Source organism: Homo sapiens, chromosome 18 (genome assembly GCF_000001405.40).
Source record: "Homo sapiens chromosome 18, GRCh38.p14 Primary Assembly".
Lineage (NCBI taxonomy): Eukaryota > Metazoa > Chordata > Mammalia > Primates > Hominidae > Homo > Homo sapiens.
Window position 1 is genome coordinate 43,094,044 of NC_000018.10, and position 22,119 is coordinate 43,116,162.

Below are 22,119 nucleotides of genomic sequence, written 5' to 3' on the forward strand. Positions count from 1 at the left end.
TAGTAAATATTTAAAAATTCAAAATTTATGCAAAAATCCATGAAGAACATTTCAAAATTGGTATTAGTGGGTTTTTTTTGTTTTTTTTTTTTTTTTTCACTTTGCCTCAGGCTCCAATATGATTCGGCATGGCTCTGATGGAAGATACAGAAGATCAAGGGAAACCAAAGAGAAATTAAATAATTATTTCTATTCATAACATTGAATATAATAGAAGTAGCATTGTAGAAGATAGGTATTTGCAAAATCTGACTTGGAGATGGAAATGAAATCCGTGCTTATAGATTAGCTTCAAATCCACCTCTCTCTTGCTTTTAATCATCTCATAATGTGGATCAGTGGTCATACATTGTCTATATATTTTCTTTTAGCTGGTTCTTGATAGCATCATGGATTGTTAATTACTTTGAATTCAGTGAATTGACATTAGAAGGGTTAAAAAAGACTTTCAAGGAAACAGGATTTTTATGATACAGAAAATGGCATTGAGTTTCACGGGAAAATGTATTCAGGGAAATTGTATTGAGAATAGGCCCAATTTGTTTGTAGAAAGACTTCAAAATTAATTAATAGAATGAATGTAGATATTATGGAATGATATATGAAAAGATGACATCAAGGAATTAAGAATGAAAATAAGTCAAAATATTAGACATAAATTAAACTGTTGTTTCCATCCATTAGAAACCTGAGGTGGTACATTGTTTTAAAACATAGACAAGTGTTCTCATTGTTCAATTCCCACCTATGAGTGAGAACATGTGGTGTTTGGTTTTCTGTCCTTGTGATAGTTTGCTGAGAATGATGGTTTCCAGCTTCATCCATGTCCCTGCAAAGGACACGAACTCATTTTTTTTTTATGGCTGCATAGAATTCCATTGTGTATATCTACCACATTTTCTTAATCCATTCTATCATTGACAGACATTTGGGTTGCTTCCAAGTCTTTGCTATTGTGAATTGTGCTGCAATAAACATACGTGTGCATGTGTCTTTATAGTAGCATGATTTACAATCCTTTGGATATATACCCAGTAATGGGATGGCTGGGTCAAATGGTATTTCTAGTTCTAGATCCTTGAGGAATAGCCACACTGTCCTCCACAATGGTTGAACTAATTTACACTCCCACGAACAGTGTAAAAGCGTTCCTATTTCTCCACATCCTCTACAGCATCTGTTCTTTCCTGACTTTTTAATGATCATCATTCTAATTGGCGTGAGATGTTATCTCATTGTGGTTTTGATTTGCATTTCTCTGATGACCGGTGATGATGAGCATTTTTCCATGTGTCTGTTGGCTGCACGAATGTCTTCTTTTGAGAAGTGTCTATTCATATGTTTTGCCCATTTTTTGATGGGGTTAAAAAATGACGAGTTGATGGATGCAGCAAACCAACATGGCACATGTATACCTATGTACAAACCTGTACGTTGTGCACATGTACCCTAGAACTTAAAGTTCAATAAAAAAATAAAAATAAAACATAGACAAGTACACAAAATAAATTTAAAACTCACTACTTGGGAGAAAATTTATTTAAATTACTTGATCTTGTGTAAAAAAGTAAACTTAATTTTAAATTCAATGTAATCATTGTATCTAAAGACAAATGGCATAGGATTATATCTTTAATACCTATCCACTTACTTATCTGCAGTATAACTGCACTCGCTGATTTGATCAGTTGAGCAACAAATGCAGATTCTAAGTATTAACTCAAATGACATGATAATTTGATTAGACAAGATATTTAACACTATTATATCTGGAAATACTTATGTACAGAATATGGATGTTAAAAAATCTACTTTCTTCCTTTACACTAATATTAAAGGTGGGGAATATAAAGTCAAGAGAGGTTGGTCACTCAGCTCGCTACTGAAAGATCCTGGCTTACTAGGAGACAGTAGTAATTTATACACAGTAATGTCTACACTTACAGTAATTAAAACTTTGCAAAGGTGTTAATAATTAGAAGAAAAAAACACTTGTATAGCACATGTTCAAGAAGCAGAACAATCCGGAAAAGTGAGACTATTTCACATTGGAGTAGAAAAAGGAAGGAAGGAAACAGAGGAGTGAATATAAATCCCAACTTGTAAACAAGTATTTCCTGAGAGTCTGTTAAGAAATCCACGAAAGCACATATTCTAATGAAGATGGTCTAGATTAGCACCAGCACACCAGACACAGATGAATTGAATGAAACTTTAAAATTTTGCCTATCTGAATTTCTCTGGTCCAAATGGTAGTAATTCATAGAATGTAGCTGGAAACTATCGTCTTCCTTGTCAGGTTATTAAACAGTATCCTTTGAGATTTAGAGGGGTGTAGACTCTAAAAATGAGTCTACATTTCAAGAAGAGTACACCATGTGTATAATATCACAGAAGATTATTTTTAACATGGAAAATTTCATTTCAGGAGAAAATATGTATTTATATTGCCTGTAACATTCAAAGACACATACTAGCAGATATATGGGAACAGATTATTAACATATTATGTTTTGGTGACTGCTAGAGAGATACTCTTGCTTTCACATTTCTCTTTTATCAGCCTACAATAATATCTAAAATGGTTTTAAAATCATGTTAGTATGTTTGTTTGGTGATTAAATATATTTAATAAAACAACTATAATTACCCACTAAGTTGAGTGGTGGGGGTTCACAAGTGTTTGTTTTATTCTCAACCTTTCTAGGTTATTTTTTTAATATGTATCAAGAAATTCATACTCAAAAAGTTATATAAAACTAAAATTCTAGGGAAATTACTCAACATGATTGATAAAATCATTTATGCCACAGTTTCTTGAATAAGTAAATTTTGAGTTCTTTGGGAAAGTACTATGCTAAAAACAAAATCTAATGGACTGAGAGAAAAATGTAATGAAGGGATAAAGAGCTTCATTCTTAGAAAGAGGTGTGTCTTTGATCCTATCCAAAGGGTGTTAGCTGTAGTTTAGAATTAGAAGAAACTAATTTTAACTAACAAATATGCAAGTGTCCCATGTATCCTGAGCCCTTGCTATCATGAGAAAGAGAGAAAGCAGCATCATGTAGACTAGGGATTCTCAAACTGCTATACAATATAATTATATGGGGAGGTTTGAAAACACCCCTTAGAGTTTGTGATTTTGTAGATCTGAAATGTGGTGTGAGCATTTGTATTTCTAACAGGTTCCCAGATGCTGTAGCTGCTGAGGACCAGGGAGCGACAATTTGAGAAGTACTGGCATAGAGTATAGAGCATATAAAACTTAACTTATAGAGTTTATATTATAGAGAAAAGACAGGACATACACAGAGGAGGTTAAATATACAAATCCGAATATGTTAAATGTTAAATAAATAGCAAAGACAGCGAAAAGTAGAAATACTGAGAGGGAGAATAAATTACTGTGGGTTTGGATATTTACCTCTTAGTTCTTGAAGAATAAGTGAAATTAAAATAAGCAGAGAAGATTCCAGAAAGCTATTGGAAAAGAGTAGGATATCTTATGCAAAAGTTACATATAGAGACATAAGGTATACTTGGGAGACAATGAAAAGTTCCTTTTGTCTGGAACAAAGTGTTTGTATAAGAAAACAATAACTCCCATTGGCTGAGTTTTACTTGAGGCTGATTCTAGAAGGTCTACATAGAAATCCGAATAAAAAGAAAACTTTATCCACCAGACAGCTTTTAAAGACCTGAAAAGTGTCGCTACAGAGCTCTTTATTACAATGATCTCCAAGGGTAGTTTTCCAGCCAGGCTCCAGTGAACTTGCCGTTACATAAATCATAACCAAAGTCCTGTCCTTTGGAAGACCATCCATCACTTTCAGGAAAGAGGCATTTTTTAATATCAGCAAATTAAACACAAATGGATATTAAAAACTCCAACAGATGATTAATCAATAAAGGTGGAAGCAGAGGACCTTATTAGTTAGCTAGATATTAGCTGGTGTAGCTAAAGTGCTAGCTATAAAACTTGAAAATTAAAAATGATAGCACATGATGGGAGTGATGGGGAGCAGCTCAAAGAGATGTAAAATATGTCACTTTCCAGGATAAGCTCAAATTGAACAAAATACTGAAGCTATAACCTGGTTCCTTAAATTCTCTTTTGAATTCACTTGTTTCTAAAGGTTTTCTGCATGAGAAACTTGCAGTGTTGGAAGTTGTATTAGAAAGTCCTTTTCTAAGGGATCAGAACGATTCTAGGTGATAATCTTTTATGGTCAGAGTTTTCAAAAATGGCAGAAACATGTGTCTTCCTTTCTGGGAAGAACCAGGGGTTTAGAAATCAGAAGCCACTTTTTTCCCAGAAAATCATTAGCAAAAGCAGCCTTTGGTTCCCCTCCTTCTAAGCCCATTTGCTCAGGATTGCATGAATCTTTTCACCCTAGATAAAGAGAGAATAGTTGTAACACACAGGGATGTAAATAATAAATGCTTTTATTGAAGTAAGGGAGAATAAAGTCATCTCAGTCTTAGAGAAAAATGGAGAAAACATAATTGTCAGCCTGGGTAGGACAGAATAGGGTTTTTTGTAACGACATAATAGTTACAATAACAATAGCAACAATAACAACCACGACAACAATAACTAGTGCTTATGAGGAAGTGCCAGGTACTGTTTTCAGGATTTTATTTATAAGAATTCATTGGAAGCCTATTCATTAATTCATTGGAAGGCCACTGTACTATCAACCCCATTTGACAGACAAGAAAACCAAGATTCAAAGATGCTGAGTGATATGCCCATGATCACAACATTACTGAAGGAATGGACCAGGATTTAAATGCTGGTAGCAAGATCTCAAATCTTTACTTTTAAGCACATACTATACGAAACAAACCCAGCCTCAGAGGAATGAACAGTCATGTCAATATTTGGGATGACATAGAGAAACAGGATGGCAACATCTGGCCTATGCTCCTAAGAAAACCTCCATGCTGTTGGCATATGATTTTAAGGAAAGGGGAGATGAACTTTTCTGATTTTCTATTTTGGTTCTAGGTAAATCATATATAACAAATTTATTTGGAAAAGATAATCAGAAAAAAGAGCACTAACAAGATCAGCTTTGATGCTTTGGTAATTGTAATTTCCTTATCATTTGTCTCTCTTTGCCTTTCTGAAGGTGTGGGCTCAGGCTAGTTCTATGACTCTAGCATCCAGAATGATGGCTGGAAAGCTATAGAACTCAATACATCTATACTGCATATTAAATGAATGAATGATTCAGTTTAAACCTCCTTAACAGAGTGTGATTTCCAAGGTTATAATGATCTATAAGCAAGTTTTTATTTACTCCCCTTTCATTTAGAAATGAACATTACATTAAGTAACGTAAGTTTGCATTTTTAATCTTGTATATATTAATGTATTTCTTCCTCACCTTAACTGTCAGTCATTTTATTAATATAAACTATCAGTCTTTTTGTTAATATAATAAAAAATAATAACTTCAGACATTTATCAAATACCTATATACAGATGACACTTGTTTATTTGGATTATTAAATTTAATCTTCATATTTCCCCTACAGCATAGGTTCTGTTTCAAAAAGTCTTAAACTCAATGGGAGTATAAGCATCAGAAGATCATAAACACATGTGTATTTGTGTATTTTGTCTCTCTATAATATCAAGAGCCATGTATGCTCTCTTTTGCTGCATAACATTAAAATCACAATCTTGCAGGGTTTTTTTCTGACAAATTTGCATAGAATAATCCATTTCAATTGATGGCAAAATCATTTTTGGCTTAGGCCCCAACGCTCTCCTATCAATCACTAAATGCTTTTGGCATTTCTTTCAAAATATAACTAGAGTCTTATCACTTCTCATCTCTACTGCTGCAGCCCTGAATCTCACAACCCACTGGCAAGGCTGGTATTATTTTCCATACTTTAGAGATAAATACATTGAAGCTTCACAAGTTTAGGTAACTTTATTTCATTTATTCACTAGGCAGTTGGGAGAATAAAACAGATATTCTAGTGTTGGGGAAGGCCAACAATAACTAGTAACATAATCAGTTATTACATTGGAAAGCAATAGGTGCTATAGAAAGAAAAAGTGGACCAAAGAAACGGAGATTTGGATGTGGTAGAAAGGTGAGGTTTTTCAATAGAATAGGCTGGTGCGGACAGGTCCATTGATGCGACAATAGGAGAGAGATGCTTGAAAAAGATAGAGTAAGCCAAGCAGATATCTGGAGAAAAGTATCCCAGGCAGAGGAAAAAGCTAACACAAAGACCCTAAAAGGGAAGTGTGCCTGTCTGGCATATTTTAGGAACAGCATGGAAGCTGATATTTCTGAAGTAGAGAGAGCAAGAGGGAGGTTAGTAGGACATGAGATCACAGAAGTGACATTGGCTGTTAAAAGTGCTGTGAGTGAAACAAGAGCCATGGTAGAGTTTAAAGCACAGTAATGACAAATCTGACTTGTAGCTTAAAAGGACCACTCTAGCTGCTGTGTTAATAAATTGTAGGAGACAATTGAAACATGGAGAAGGGCTAGTGCAAAACTATAGATACAGGAAAAAGAGGATGGTAAGTTAGAATTCAATTCACAACTGAGTTTTGAAAAAAGGACACCTCTGGATATACATAGAAGACAAAACCAAGGAAATTACTTATGAACTGGATGTGGAAGTATGAAGGAAAGAGGAGTAAAGCATCAGGCCAATGTTTTGGACCTGCACAATTGGAAAGATGGAGTTGCTATCAATTGATATGAGGGAGGCTGGGGGTAAACAAGTTTGAAAAGAAGATCGGTGGTTTAGTTTTGGGGAATTTTAGTCTGCATTTCTGGACTTCAGAATCCCCCAGTGCCATCACTGCCTTCTCCCTTCCTTGAAAGGAGACTACGTAGGTGATCTTTTCCTTTTGTGTGTGTATGTGTGTGTATATACACACACATGCACAGACATATATGTGTGTGTGTTTGTATTCACACATAAATATGTGCACATATATATATTTTCTGTCTGTGTATAATGTATGTGTGTGTATATATATATATCTATATATAAATTCTAACACGATTCACTTATAGTAATGAACATGTAGACTTTTAATTGAGGACTATTAGGAATAATGCCATTGTAAACATTTTAACCATGCCTCTTTGTTCATACGTATGTTAAATTCTGTTGAGTATATATAGCTAAGAGTAGAATTGCTAAACCATCTGATCAAGTTACATATTTCTTCATCTTGGTACCAAGTGTCAAATTATTTTGTACAGTGGCTGTATGAATTCTTACTCTCATTATGCCCTATCTCTTCGTTAGCAGTGTAGTCTTTTTAAATTTTTGTCATTTTAATTATGTCTAATTATCCAGACATAAATTTAGATATAAATGTTATCTAGATAAAAATTTAATTTAATACAAAGACATAAAGGTATATAAATTATACTGAAGCCATGTGACTGGATAAAATACCATAGGAAATTAAAATGAGAAGAAGCCCTGTGTCGTGCAACATTAAGAGATCTAGAAGAAGAGGAAGAATCAGCAAAGTCACTTGATTAATTAGTGGGAGAACTGAATTTCAATGCATGCCTGTCCCTCTTCAAAGTCCATGCTGTTTCAAACATGCCAGGCTGTCTCAGAATTACATTCAGAAAATATATAAATAAGCTAAGAATGGCAGACCACTTGTATTCCTGTCATAGCAAAGTATTTTAGGTAAAAATGTTTTCAATTTGCTTTTCTGTGATGAAGTGGAAGGCAAATTTTTTTAAGGGCAGAAAAAATATTAAAGGCTTTTGTGGGGTGGCTCTAAAGAAAGTGTGAAAGCTGATATTAGATCGTTTAAGCTCATTCATTAAGACGGAGCAAGTAGAAAAGAGTGGGTAGCTAGCTAAACAAAAAATAGACAAAATAGGAAGGAAAAACTTTTAATCCTAGATAGTAAAGTTGTTTTCTGTATGTTTATTTGCTTTTCATTTTGTTGTTTTGTTTGTTTTCTAATAACGGCAACAACTTTGCCCATGAAATAAGTTTTGCCTTCTTGATTTTACAGCTTCCTGACATCAGGGAGAAGTGATGCTTTGATTTGAATCTAGTCCTATTTGAGATTCTATGGTCTTCTCTTCTTAGGATTTCCTCTTATCAAAATTAAAATTAAATCTTATGCAGAATGATTTTTACCCTCCCAGGAAACATATGTGGAAACATGTGGCTAATTCAGAATTCAGTGTTGCAACTACAATCTACCTCAGTTTTTCTTAGTGTTGACCAAGAAACAATTGTTCTTTGTTATGTTAGTAAACATTCTGAACTTAGAACCATGGGGGTAAACAATGTTCTGAAGTCTTATTTGCTGAGATCTTCTTATAACATTTTATAAAATACTTTCTTTTCTCCTCCTCACTCCAACCCTCAGGAAACCCTTTTTTTTTTTTTTTTTTTTTTTCCGGAGAGTAGTCCACAGTTCTGGTGTGCGGTGGAAAAAGGTTTCGGAAATAAAACATGAGCTATTTTCATGGTTTCATATGTCAGTTATCCTAATCTTTTGCTTTCAAGGAATGTGTACACTGCTTCTGATTCTGTCTGCTGGTGCATGCTCAGTTTTTTTTAATTCAGCATTTATTTATTTATTTATTATTTTTCTCTTTGGAGACAAAGTCTCGCTCTGTTGCCCAGGCTGGTGTGCAGTGGCATGATCTCGGCTCACTGCAACCTTCGCCTCCCGGGTTCAAGCGATTCTCATGCCTCAGCTTCCTGAGTAGCTGGGACTACAGGAGTGCACCACCAGAGCCGGATAATTTTTGTATTTTTAGTAGAGATGGGGCTTCACCATGTTGGCCAGGCTGGTCTCGGACTCCTGGCCTCAAGTGATCTGCCCACCTCGGCCTCCCAAAGCGCTGGGATTATGGACGTGAGCCACTGCGCCCGGCCCTTAACTCAGCATTTATATCTTAATTGTTTGTGACTATCTGCCATGTTTTGATGGACAAACTTCCTGTGGTCTATTTGTGTTTCTGAACATCCTAAACACTGTGTGGGCTTATTGGCCTTCAAATCCATGGTCACCAAAGATTGTTAATGCTGGCCTGAGTCTAGGTTGTTCCCAAGCCACACCCTTACCCTATACTTACATACCTGCCACTTCTCTCTTGGTACCAGTTTCTTTCTCTATTATTCATGGCTCTATTGTGAACTTTTAGAATATTGCTTAGTTTTATTTTACTACATATGCCCGGTGTCTTACTTTCTGAATTTCCTCAAAGATGAAAAAGGGTATTATGTTTATAAATATTTTTGAAGATTTACTCCCATAAGTATCACGGGAAAAGAAAGACAATATAAAATCTATTTCCTACTCCTCATGAATTTGCTATTAAAACAGGAAAATTAAACATAAAGAGATAACAAATTAAATACAAATTCAAACTTTAAATAACATCTTAAGACCACAAGCCAGATGCTCAAAGAAACTGTGTAACTGTAAATAGTTATTGGAAGGGATAATAATCAGAAAGAATTTTAAGTGTTATAAAGAAGAGAGAAGATATTAGACTGGAGTAGACAGGGAAGATATTAAAGAGCAAGAAGTATTTGTGCAGAATCTGAAAGGACAGATCAAATCGAACAAATTGAGGGAAAGGAGGAGAGAGCTTATTTTAAAATAACTTCGTGATTGGGGAACAAAAAGTAAAATAGTTTGTCTAGAAGGTAGATGACAGTGATGGAAGGACATGTCTGGGTCTATTTCAATTCTAAAATGACGGTGTTGGAATAAAGTAAGATATCTTAGTTGTTTGGGGAGGAGAAGAATCAAAATGGTATTTCAGGACGGTGGTATGAAGTGGTATGAAGAGCAGGTAAGAGTGGGATATGGGGGTTTAAAAGATGATAGAAGAAATCCCACTACTGGGTATTTATCTAAAGAAAAAGGAGTCAGTATATCAAAAGGATACCTACACCCCCAAGTTTATTGCACCACTACGCACAGTAACTGAGATATGGAATACAACGGAACGCCCATCAACAGATAAATGGATAAAGGAAATGTCATATACATACACAATGGAATGCTATTCAGACATGAAAAAAGAATGAAATCCTGTCATTTGCCACAACATGGATGAACCTGGAGGACATAACGTTAAGTAAACTAAATCAGGCATAGAAAGATAAATACCAAAAGTTCTCACTTGTAAATGAAATCTAAAAAAGTTGATATAGAAGTAGAACTGTGGTCATTAGAGGCTGGGAAGAGAGAGGGAGGGTAGGATGGGGAGAGTTTGGTTAACAGATACAAAATCACAGCTAGATGGGAGGAATGAGTTCTGGTGTTCCACAGCGCTATATAATGAATGTGGTTGGCTATAATTTATTGTGTATTTTCAAAAAGTTAGAGAGGATTTTAATGTTCACAGCACAAAGAAGTAATAAATGTTTGAGGTGATAGATATCCTAATTACCATTATTTGATCATTATACATTGTATACACCTATGAAAATAACACATAAATACATATGATTATTACTTGTCAACTAAAAATGAAAGGGAAAAAAAAAGATGCTGAGGTATTCCAGACTTCTGTTACTCAGAATTTGCCAATATAAAATCCCTAATATTTTTCCACTGATTTCAGTCCTAAGATAATTATATTGGAATAAAGTATGAAATATTTCTAAACAGTAAATAAATAAATAAATAAATATAATAGGCAGGAACCAATTAGCTGAAGTTTTTACAATTTCAAATAAAAGATGTGCCCTTTTGCTACCAAATAAAGAGCCTGATTTCTTCAATTAAACAAAAATCTGTATCCATGTAGCTTATTATTAGCTTTTCCTGCAACCATTAAATATGACTCTTTCCCTTTAAATGTTCAGTGTTGCTACTATGGAGAATGGAAGACATGTCATATTACTCAAAATTTATTAAAACAATACACAAATTGGAAAAATTAATTTCAGTCTGGATTCAAGCAGAGGCATGCTCTGTTAAAAGCCATAGCCCCTCTAATCAGGCCCTTTGTGGGCTATTGTAGCAGGCAATTGTCCTCCAGTCCTTTCTCTAACAGGCAGTGTGCTGTGTGTGTGTGTGTGTGTGTGTGTGTGTGTTTGTGTGTGTGTGTGTGTGTTTGTGTGTGGTATGGGTCAATTAGGATGAATAAAGGGATTGTTTACTAAGGTAACTAGTAAACTACTTTTATTACTGTCACTGAAATTACCACTCAGGAGACCAAAGCAGAAACTAATCAATATAAGGATCTAGAGAGCAAGAACAAGAATAGAGCAGGTGCATATACAATGGCAGTTTTACAATATTCAACCCAAATTGTATTTTCCTAGGACCTATCTGAAATATGTGTCACTACTCTTCCCTATGTTACAGAGGTAAACTGCCTTAGGTGGAGGCATGGAAGGAAGGAACAAAAAAAGGAAGGGAGGAAGGGAGGAAGAGAGGAAGGGAGGAAGGGAGGAAGAAAGGGAGGGAGGGAGGGAGGGAATGAGCAGTTTTAATGAAGGTGTAATATTGGGCAATATAATCTATAGTTTTTATTTAGTATTTTCCAATGTCATCTACCCAGCAATTCTCTGAGGATATTTTAATTAAAGCCCTTAATGAGGAAAAGGGAGACTCAAAGAGCTTAAGTGACCTGTGCAACGTCAAGTGTTGTTAAGGGTAAATAAATAAAAACAAAGCTATCCATTTACGTTATAAACTTTGTCCCACAGTTTGTGCCAGGCTATGTAATTAATATTCTGAGTATGAACCGTTACAGTAGTTATTATTGTCATCCCCATTTTACAGATGAGAAAAGACAAATATGGATTTCCTGGGTTACCCAAACCCCCAGTTCACATTATTCTGTCATCACTTCTATGGTAGGGCTTCATTCTACAGATTGAAGGTTGATCAAAATAATATATGGTAACGAGCACAGTGGACAGTGGTTAAGGGCCTCAGCTCTGGCAGTGGTTGAGTCCTGCATAGTCACCTCAGGCTCTGGGTTCCTGAGTGAATTACTCACCATCTTCAAGCTTTATTGTTCTCATCTATTAATTAGAGATATTAACCACACCCACACTTCTGGGTTTAGTGAGACTTAATAAATTAACATATTTAGTGCATTTTGAACAGGGTCAGGTATATGCAAAACTCAGAAGTGTTCACTTTTATTTTGCCATTCATTGCAGGAAGAAATTGAAAGAATAATAGTTTGGACAAAACAAGAAACATTCCTCTTTTGTGAATGCACGCAGATTTATGAACACAAACACACACTTTATTGCTCATTTTAAAGCATATTAAGAGGAAATGTGAACTGGTAAAGTGTCTAAGGACTTCTGATTCATTCAATAAGTGACTACCCAAACATTGATTTTCACATATACAAGAAATCTTCTGATAAAGAACTTCCCTCATCCACCACCACCACAACTTCTCTAACTATAATTGTTAAAAATCTTTATTCGGCGTTCCATTGTAAGACCACAAATTATCTACACTATCTCATTTCAGTTCAATTAAAGATTTTTTCCTGGGACTGCAAATATAGTTTTCTCTCTGATTTCCTTTTCAATGCAACATCTCCAGGGAGGCCCCAGTCCCCCACTCCCCCTTCGGCTTTACATCCTTCATGCATACTTTAGGAAGAATCAGGTTTCTATCTGCCCAATACACATGGCAGTGGCAGGATGCTGAAATGCTTGGAGTATTTGGGGACCAGAACTATCAATACTCTCACGCTGAAGCTGTGGTGTTAGCTGAAGTAGAATTATAGTAGGCAGAAAGGGCAGAAATGATGGTCTGGCAGAGTGACTAGCAATGGCACTTAGCTGGTCCCTGCTGAGCAATGAGAAGGACAGGTAGCACTGTTTGGTCAGGGTCACCAGAAAGCTGGTATTTATTTATGAGGAAAGCCCAAGTGATTGAGTAGATATCATTGATGGGCTTTGCAAATAGCCAGATTCATTGATAAAAGTGCACCTTCCATGTCTGTGAGCAGTACAGAGGACCACCGTCTGTCAATGTGTACAGTCGCAATCCCACCACACTGCAAACACACACACGCACAGAAATAATCGGTCATAGGCAGCAGGTTGATCTCCAGTGAGATTTTATGCTGGTTTATGGGAGGCAAAATGGCCTATTGGAAAAATTCATGCTCTAGAAAGTCAGGAGACTCTAGTCCCAACGCTACAGATGAACAGCTGAACAATGTATGGTAGGTCATTTTATCTTTCTAAGCCATAGTTCTCATTGCTTCCAAAATACCTCCCATGCATCTCTATCATTGCCTCACAAGTCTGTTTATACATCTTGTTTGTTACCCTGGTGGACAGGGCAGAGGCTGTGTCTAATTCTTGGTCATATCTGTGGGCTTTTCACAGGTCTAGGCGTGCACGCGTGCGTGCACGCATACACACACAAACACTCTTTTGTCAGTTTCTATTAATTATTCCAAAATGTATATGTTTAAAGAAAGTATGCTTCCCTAAGCAAATCAGCACCTAATTTCAAAAATCGGTATGGTTTACTCAGCACCCTGTTTACTTTCTTTGTTTGCATGATCCCAGGTTTCAATAAATTCCTATAATTACTGGGTTACTTGGTTTTCTCAAGTTGAAAGGAATTGTCACCTTCTCTCTATGTGGTTGAGGCCCCCAGGGGTCTCTGAATAGACAAGAACAAACCAGTCTTTGGCACCTCCATGCTAAATTGTTTAGTCAGAGCTCCTCATGCCACTCACTACCCCATCTAATAAGCGTAGCACTCTCCGTTGTTTGTGTAGAAAATTAAAAATATTAAAATATTTTCATATAGACGATTTTGTGTGATGTTTAAAATACATGCATGAAAATGTGGCCGGGTGCAGTGGCTCACGCCTGTAACCCCAGCCCTTTGGAAGTCCGAGGCGGGTGGATGACGAGGTCAGGAGATCGAGACCATCCTGGCTAACACGGTGATACCCCGTCTCTACTAAAAATACAAAAAAAAAAAAAAAAATTAACCGGGCATGGTGGCGGGTGACTGTAGTCCCAGTTATTCGGGGAGGCTGAGGCAGGATAATGGTGTGAACCCAGGAGGCAGAGCTTGCAGTGAGCCGAGATTGCACCAGTGCACTCCAGCCTGAGTGATAGAACGAGACTCCATCTCAAAAAAAAAAAAAATGCAGCTGAAGTTAGAACTCAGGTTCACTGTATCATGTCTTCAAAAAATAAAAACTTTCAGGTGAGAAAATAAAAATAATGTAAACATCGAACTTAGACATCCATATGTAGGCACATTAGGTTCATCATTTAATATCTATGTGCCTTGGGCCATATTACGTGTGTGTGTGTGTGTGTGTGTGTACCTCAGTTTTCTCACTTATAAAACGCAGACAGTAAAGCCTTCCTCACAAGATCAAGGCAGGGTGAGGGGTATAGTAAGGCAAGGGAATGTGACAGACCATCAGCCAGCAAAACACCAAAGCAAATGCGTGAACGTAAAGAGCTCAGCAACATGTGGGCTCATTGAGGGATTATTACATGCTCGTTCATCTCCAGTCATAGATGGGGCAGACATATCATATAGTACTCATGTAGAGCTGTAGAAACTCTCTTTCATCAATTTAAAATCTACAGAGTGCATATAATCTTGGAGATGTTGTCAATCAAAGCCTTTCGCCTGAATTCTGTTTTCAATCATTATTTGAGTGAGTAGATACCAATTTACTCTTTTACTGAGCCTTATTTAGACCTCTTGGCTAATGCTTCCTGACAGTATTGCAGTGAGTGATGGTCTGCAGTACAACTGAGGTGGTAACAATTAAGGGTGAGAACAGAAGGCCCTGGAATCTTAAAATCTTTTTGCTTTCCCCTTGTTTATTTTGTTTCTTTTGCCTTACAGTCCACAGGGTTAGGATAACGCATGGCCACGATGTGACAATTGTTGAGCTTTGTCAGACTCAAAGTTCTGCTAATGAAGTAAAATACAGAGGCTGTGGGACATGAATGATGCACTTGGTTGCTTGCCTTGATTTAATTCATCAGATAAAGGCTCAACTTCCTACCTGCTTTCCTAATTCACTGAGGTGGAAGGAATTGGTTGTGTGCTGCTTTCCGTTTACCTCAGAGATATTGTTACTGCTTTCTCTTTATAAAATCCTGCTACATGAAACTGAATTTGCAGAGGCAACAAACTGCACATGGCCGTGGGAGAGAATATGTTTGTTTATTTTAGAAATCAGTTTTTTCTTTACAAAGAATTCACAATGGAAACATTCTAATAAATTCTGAGTTCCCTAATCCTTTTTGGGTTTTCAGTTTATTTGTGTTGTGTAACTTTTTCACAGTTAACTGAAGCATCTATTGAGCAAATCTCAAAAGATATTTTTTCAACTACCACTTAGAGACACTAAATTATCAAGATGCTGCCATTAAAAATTATAAGCCTTCAGATCCCTTTGTGCCCCTGTATACACTGTTTATGTTCAATTCTTTCCCTTGGATCTCCCCATACTTTTCTTCTTCAGCATCAAAAAAATCCTCCTCATCCTTTAAGACATAATTTAAATACCATCTATGCTGTGATTTCTTCTCAACTTTCACATCTCTTATAGCCACCCCTTATACTGAGTTTCCAAAGCTCTTACATCAGAAGCCTAATATAAACTTATTGTTTTGTATTACACATTACAGCAAATTTTCCACCATGAGATGGTGCACTCCCAGAGGTCAGGAATCACCTGAAATCATAGTTGTGAATAACACTCCCTCCCTGCTCAATGACTTGCATAGTGTTTCATACATATTTCACATTTGAAGATGTATGTTGACAACATTTCACCAAATAATTCCAAGATGTGTCCTAGGGACCAGAGAAGGACATAAAGTTCTCATCTGACATTGGGAACCTTTTTCTGCTTTTCCCATACAATTTGATAGAAAAACAATTTAGATGTAGAAAGCCTGTGTTCATGTCCAGTCCTTATTTTCTGACTTTCCTACTAGACAAATCTCTTGATAGTTCTGTGCTTAGATACCTCTCCTACTTGCCTTCTTACTTTGTGATCAAATAAGATCATAATCAGAATAAGTAAAATGTTATTTTTACCCCAATTTTATGCGATAATATCTTATTTTGCAAAATATGATCATTATGAATCTTAAATTATTTAAATCTTAAAACATTATCATTATGTTAAGTGTATGCCTGTATACGAATATTTCCTTAACTCCATATATATATATACCCACTATGTACCCATAAAAATAAAAAAAATCAGTAAAATAAAAACCTACTAACTTAGAATAAATCCCAAATGCAGATATTTTCCAAAATACCTGGAAAATAAGATATTATTTTTATTAAATAAAATCTGTTGAATAAATTTGATTCTGAACTTGGAGAACCAGATGTGAAGCCAAGGAAGACAATATTTCATCATGCTCTGGCATTGAGGAACGGCCTTGCTGTTTCAAACCACAGTGACAAAGGTCAATATTTGAAACTGTTATAAGGATTGTTTAGGCTCCATAAAACTTTAAAACTGTAACCATGAGATTATTTTTATTTTTATTTTTTAGGGTGGGTGAGTGGCGGGCAGTGGAACAAAATGAGATAGAAGGCTAAAAGAAGATGCCTAAAAGATGCCTAACATACTGAACTTTATTGGATAATTTGTCTTTTTTGTTGTTTTCTTTTGGTTTTAGTTGTAATCACAGTTTGTAATATAAGTTTCTATTCTACTGTCATTTAATGTTATTTCACTGAATGTGTATGTGTGTATATATATGTGTGTTGTTTCTTAAGTAGTTTTCTCGTCATGAGTCTTATTTTTAAAATAAACTTTATTGTGTATATTTAAGGTATACAATATGATGTTGTGGGATACACATAGATAGTAAAATATTTACTATAGGAAAACAAATTAGCATATCCATCATTTCACATAGCTACTTTTTATAGGGGGTGGCAGTATCAGCAGCTAAAATCTACTAATTTATGCAGCACTAGCAACAATAGCCAAGATTTGGAAGTAACTTAAGTGTCCATCAACAGAAGAATGAATAAAATAAATGTGGTATATATACACAATGGAATACTATTCAGCTATATAAAAGAATGAGATCCAGTCATTTGCAACAGCATGCATGGAAATGGAGATCATTGTGTCAAGTGAAATAAGCCAGACACAGAAAGACAAACTTTGCATGGTCTCATTCATTTGTGGAAGTTAAAAATTAAAACAATTTAATTCATGGAGATAGTAGAATGATGGCTACCAGAGGCTGGAAAGGGTAGTAGGAAGAGGGAGTGGAGATGGTTAATGGGTACAAAATTGTGGTTAGATGGAATGAATAAGATCTAACATTTGATAGCACAACAGGGTCATTATCATCACAAATAAGTTATTGTACATTTTAAAATAACAAAAAAGTATAATGGAAGATTTATAACACAAATAAATGATGAATGTTTGAGGTGATGGATACACCATACCCTGATGTGATTATTATACACTGTATGCCTGTATCCAAATATCTCATGTACTCCATAAATATATACATGTATAAAATATATACACCTACTATGTACAAATAAACATAAAAAAATCTACTAATTTAGCATAAACCCCAAATAAAATATTATTACCTCTAGTCCTCATCCTATACATTAGATCTCTATACTTGTTCCTCCTAAATGTCTGCTACTTTGTATACATATCTGTTACTTTGTATGGTGCAGTTTTGATTCAGCTTACTCTGTGTAAAAATTGGGGAGTGATGGAAAAGCAGCTTCAATGGTGTCAGAAGGACTGGATTCTGGATCTGACTCTGCCACTGCTGTATAAATGACCTTTGCAGGTCTCTTCACCTCTCAATGCCTCAGTTTGGCCATTGTCCAAATAATTCTTGTGTATCCCTGTTTTCTCTGCAGTTAGTAACATTCTTGGACAATATTACATATAATTATAAAAATATAAATACAAATATTAATATTATATATTTATACAGAAGTATTATGCATAGTGTTCAATTAGGTTAAAGATTAAAGCGGCATAGATGTATAAATCAAAGTGATAGCCTAGATGGTTAAGATCTCTTCTAAATATAACATTCGAGACCTAGGAAATGCATTATCAATGGATCTGTTTTCTTCTTACTAGTGAGTGATGCAACTCTTTGTTCTTCTCAGAGCATTAAACATAATGTAGTAGAGTTAGATAAAACATCACAGAACTCTAAATTATTACCCCCATGACCAGGCACAAGTTATTTTTCTGACCTCTGTTTTTTCATCTGTGAAATAGAAATACCGACTCTGACTGTGGTTAGGACTGAGTATAAGCGTGAAATACATGTAGCCCATGCCTGCCATGCAATGGGGGCTTCATAAATGTTTACGTCCTTCATAGTAACTAGTATAGGACTGTGCATAATACGTGCTCAGTAAACTTTATTGATTACTTGTGGTTTAAAATTCCTCACATAAAGTACATTCATTAACTGACATATTTTAAATCTTGTGGGAATTCCTATTTCAGTAAAGTTGCAAATTCTTTTAAAAGTTTCTATTAAAAAATATTTTGGTAAAACATGGACAAAAACATTTCTCAGGCCAGGCACAATGGCTCATGCCTATAATCCCAGCACTTTGGGGGGCTGAGGCAGGAGCATTGCTTGAGGCCAGAAGTTTGAGACCAACCTGGGCAACATAGTGAGAGCCCATCTCTACAAAAAGAAAAATAAAAAAGAATAAATATTAATATACATAAAAAATCTCCAAGATTTTAAAAATTATAGTCACCATAAATTTAGTTTTTAATTCATGTTTAAGGCTGACTTGGACTTGACTCTCAGAATTGGAAACAGATGGTAGCTTGATGCATCTTCTTTAGTTTCTTCAGAAGAGCAGATCTCTTCTGGAAATCTCTTCACACAACCCAGGGTAATGGGGTTATACAATCCCTTCATATACCTCTGTTGATCTAAGTCTTTGATATGAAAAGTAGGTTTTAAAACGTATATTTTAGAGCCATGATCATGCCACTGCACCCCAGCCTAGGCTCAAATGAGATAAAATAAACCATGTATATTTTTAGCTCATTTGAAAGCAAATATTTTAACCTTCAATAGAAGGTTAATATTAAGAATCAGTGCTTGAATGTTTATATGCTGATGGAAGAACATCAGGTAAGTCACAGGGGAAAGTCCAAGGACCAGATGATTTTCTCACTGTGATTTCAAACATTTAGTCATAAGGACAGCATTTTCCAGGTGTGAAATTGTAGTATGAGAAATATTCTCTGGTGTAGTAGCCAAGGTTGCCATTTATATATAATCAATACAACTGAGCTGTTTATACTCCTTATCCTTATCTTTCTCTGAGAATGAGCTGGTCATTCCTGTCTTTTCATCTCACAGGAAAAGTTTTGTTCAAGTACTTAATTATGAATTGACTTCTATTGTACAAAGCAAAGATGAGAGCAAGCCAGGCCACTCTGTGGGCCATGTGTCACATTGAAAATCCATAGTCATTGGAACAGTAACAATGATCTGTCAGCACAAATAATACTTGGGAGAGATCAAAATAGAAGATAAAATATCACCACTATAATATCAGCAATATCACAAGAAAAGTGTGTTGCTGAAGGATGTTCCCGTCCAAAATCTCTTTTCTCCAAGTTTCATTTAGGTGGAATAAATTGAAGTAGGCTAAAAATCAGTCACTCTATCCCCACATCCCCCAAGCTCCTAAAAGCAAATACCTAACCAGCAAACAAAAGCAATACAGAGGCACATTATTGCGACAATTTCAGCATCTCCCTGACCTCACAAGCTGCTGGTGGCATTTAATGTGGATTGGTCTTTTGCCTGTTTTTTTTAAATCTGTTTTTCTCTCTTCTTCAGTATTTTATTCTCACATTGTTTATTTCTTTCTTCCTCACTGTATCTGACTGGATTCTTGTAAAGTATAACTTCATTTTATATAGATCATGTTGTCTCTATCCTTCCTCCATCCCTTCCTCCTTCCTTAAATCCTAACCTATTTTGATTCCTTCCTTCTCAAATCATTATATTTAGAGGAGAAAGCTTTTTAAAAATTCCTCATTTATACACAATTACAAAGCTTTTCTTTCATATTTTTGCCTCCCTAGAAGAGATGAATAATTTTTTTCACTTTGATATGCATTTTGCTACTGACCACATCCAGATGTACCTATTTCTTTTATTTTTTATGAGAATTCTCTTTTGTAGGGTGAGGAGAAGAGGTAGGGGTGCTGAATTTTATGTTTCTTACTATCTTTAACTTTGTTGTCCACTAAAGTCACAATCTCCTTCCTCTTCCTTTACTGTTCAGTTTTCCTATCCCTTGTGGACCCATCCACCAAAGTTGTTAGTTTTTTGGTTTCTTCTGCCGAAAATATTGTCTTCGTCTTTTAATTTTTTTGTCAACACTAAAACTACTGATTTGTTTTGATGCTTTTTGTCCATGCTAACTATAATATTTTTTCTACCTTTTAGAATTCCCAAAGATATATTCCCAGTGGAGATATTTAATATTTATATAAAAAGCTATATTTATTTATTTTCTAGTGATAGCCATAGCTCCGAGCTATCTAACATTTGATCAGCCAAAAAACTACTATGTATCTATTTTTTTAATTTTTTTATATTTGGCCTTTTAGGCTCCTCAAGAATCCCAACAACTGACACTTCCGTTCTTTATGTACCAAAAGAAATTTGCTATTCTTCATCTCTATTATCACCTCATCTTCATTTATTTGTGTAGCTTTCTCCTTTAATTGACCACAAAGTTTAGTTTGATCACCCTGCACAGGACTCACAATGAATATCATTCCATAAATCACTGCCACTTTCAAAAACCAACTTTCTTTTGGTATTCAAAGCCCACACACACCATGTCAGACTACAGATGAGGAAAAAGAACCTCCTAATGAAAGAAACAAACACAACAATCAACACCCATCATCCCGAGTATATGTCTGTGTTTGTAACTGTGTTTAATTGAATATTCATAGCACTTCTTTCTTTATGTGAAGATTTTTGAGACTAGGAGCACATTTTTCTCATACCATGACAATTTCATACTTATTTTTATTATTAAAAAAGACCTATACACTAAGAGCAAATATCACCCAGCATGAAATCAAAGAAAACAATCATCCTCTTAAGGTTCTGAGGATCATCACTGGCTGTCTGCATTATCCTGACTCATCAGCATCGGTTTAACAGTCCTGACACTTTGGAGCATCCTGCCAGACCCATACTCTGTGTTTAACTGCCACAGTTCACCTCTAACAGCATCAGCAATATCATTTTTCTTTCACTCTATAGAGTTGTCTCTATAGAGGTCCCTCCTTCCCCAGCATTTGGTGTGAAAACTTACCGCTTTTACCAACTCCCCCTGCTCCCAGCATTACCACCTTGTACTCTCTGGACCCGCCTGATGCGCTGCCCGGGGAGCAGCTGGCTTCATTTTCTACCTCCATCTTACCCGAGGGACCGGAGGAAAAAAAGAAGGAGAAAGTCACCCGTGTCAGGTGCTTGCTCGAATATTAAGCAACTCTAAAACTGTGTCAAAGCAAAGGTTTTAGTACGAGGTAAGAACCATCAGCGTCGGGCTGGCTGCTGGTCCTCCGCTCGAGCGGGTCTCATAGCAACCACTTCAATTGCTTCCAATAAAAATCTGGCTTTTGCATCCCCCACCCTTCCTTCCGATCCTTCACTCTTTCACGTCTCCTACAATCTCTCTCTCTCTCTCTCTCTCATTTTCATTTCCTCCCTCATTTGATTCTTTCTCCATTTCCCTTCCCCACTGTCTGTTTCTCTCCTTTCTCTTTCCTGCCTACCCCCTGCACAGTCACAGTTGTCAGTGGCACACACACATTCGACCCCTTTTCAGGCTGCGCTGCTAGAATGGAGTGAATCTGAGACCTCACAGGAGTTGCTATGTCTCACAGGATGACTTCTGTAGGTACAGCTTCAAAGATGCTATTTTCTTTTAATCAAAGTCAATTAATAAGGATTTCTTCTGCTTATAGTCTTGCATTTTATCACTCTTCTATTGCAGTTTTCATTCCGGGAAAATGGAAAAGCAAAACAAAAACAAAACAGAACAGTAACTCAGGGCTC

At 35.9% G+C, this 22,119-nt stretch overlaps 1 protein-coding gene across 2 annotated transcripts in view; it reads right to left on the reverse strand.

Moving 5' to 3' along the window:
* RIT2 (Ras like without CAAX 2) overlaps positions 1-21,642 on the reverse strand; it is a 372,459-nt gene extending 350,817 nt beyond the window's left edge. For both annotated transcript variants that reach the window (NM_002930.4, NM_001272077.2), the window contains exon 1: positions 21,374-21,642. In NM_002930.4, the coding sequence (NP_002921.1) occupies positions 21,374-21,476 (103 nt within the window). In that variant the 5' untranslated portion in view covers positions 21,477-21,642. The remainder of the gene's footprint in view (positions 1-21,373) is intronic.
* Positions 21,643-22,119: the final 477 nt, after the last annotated feature.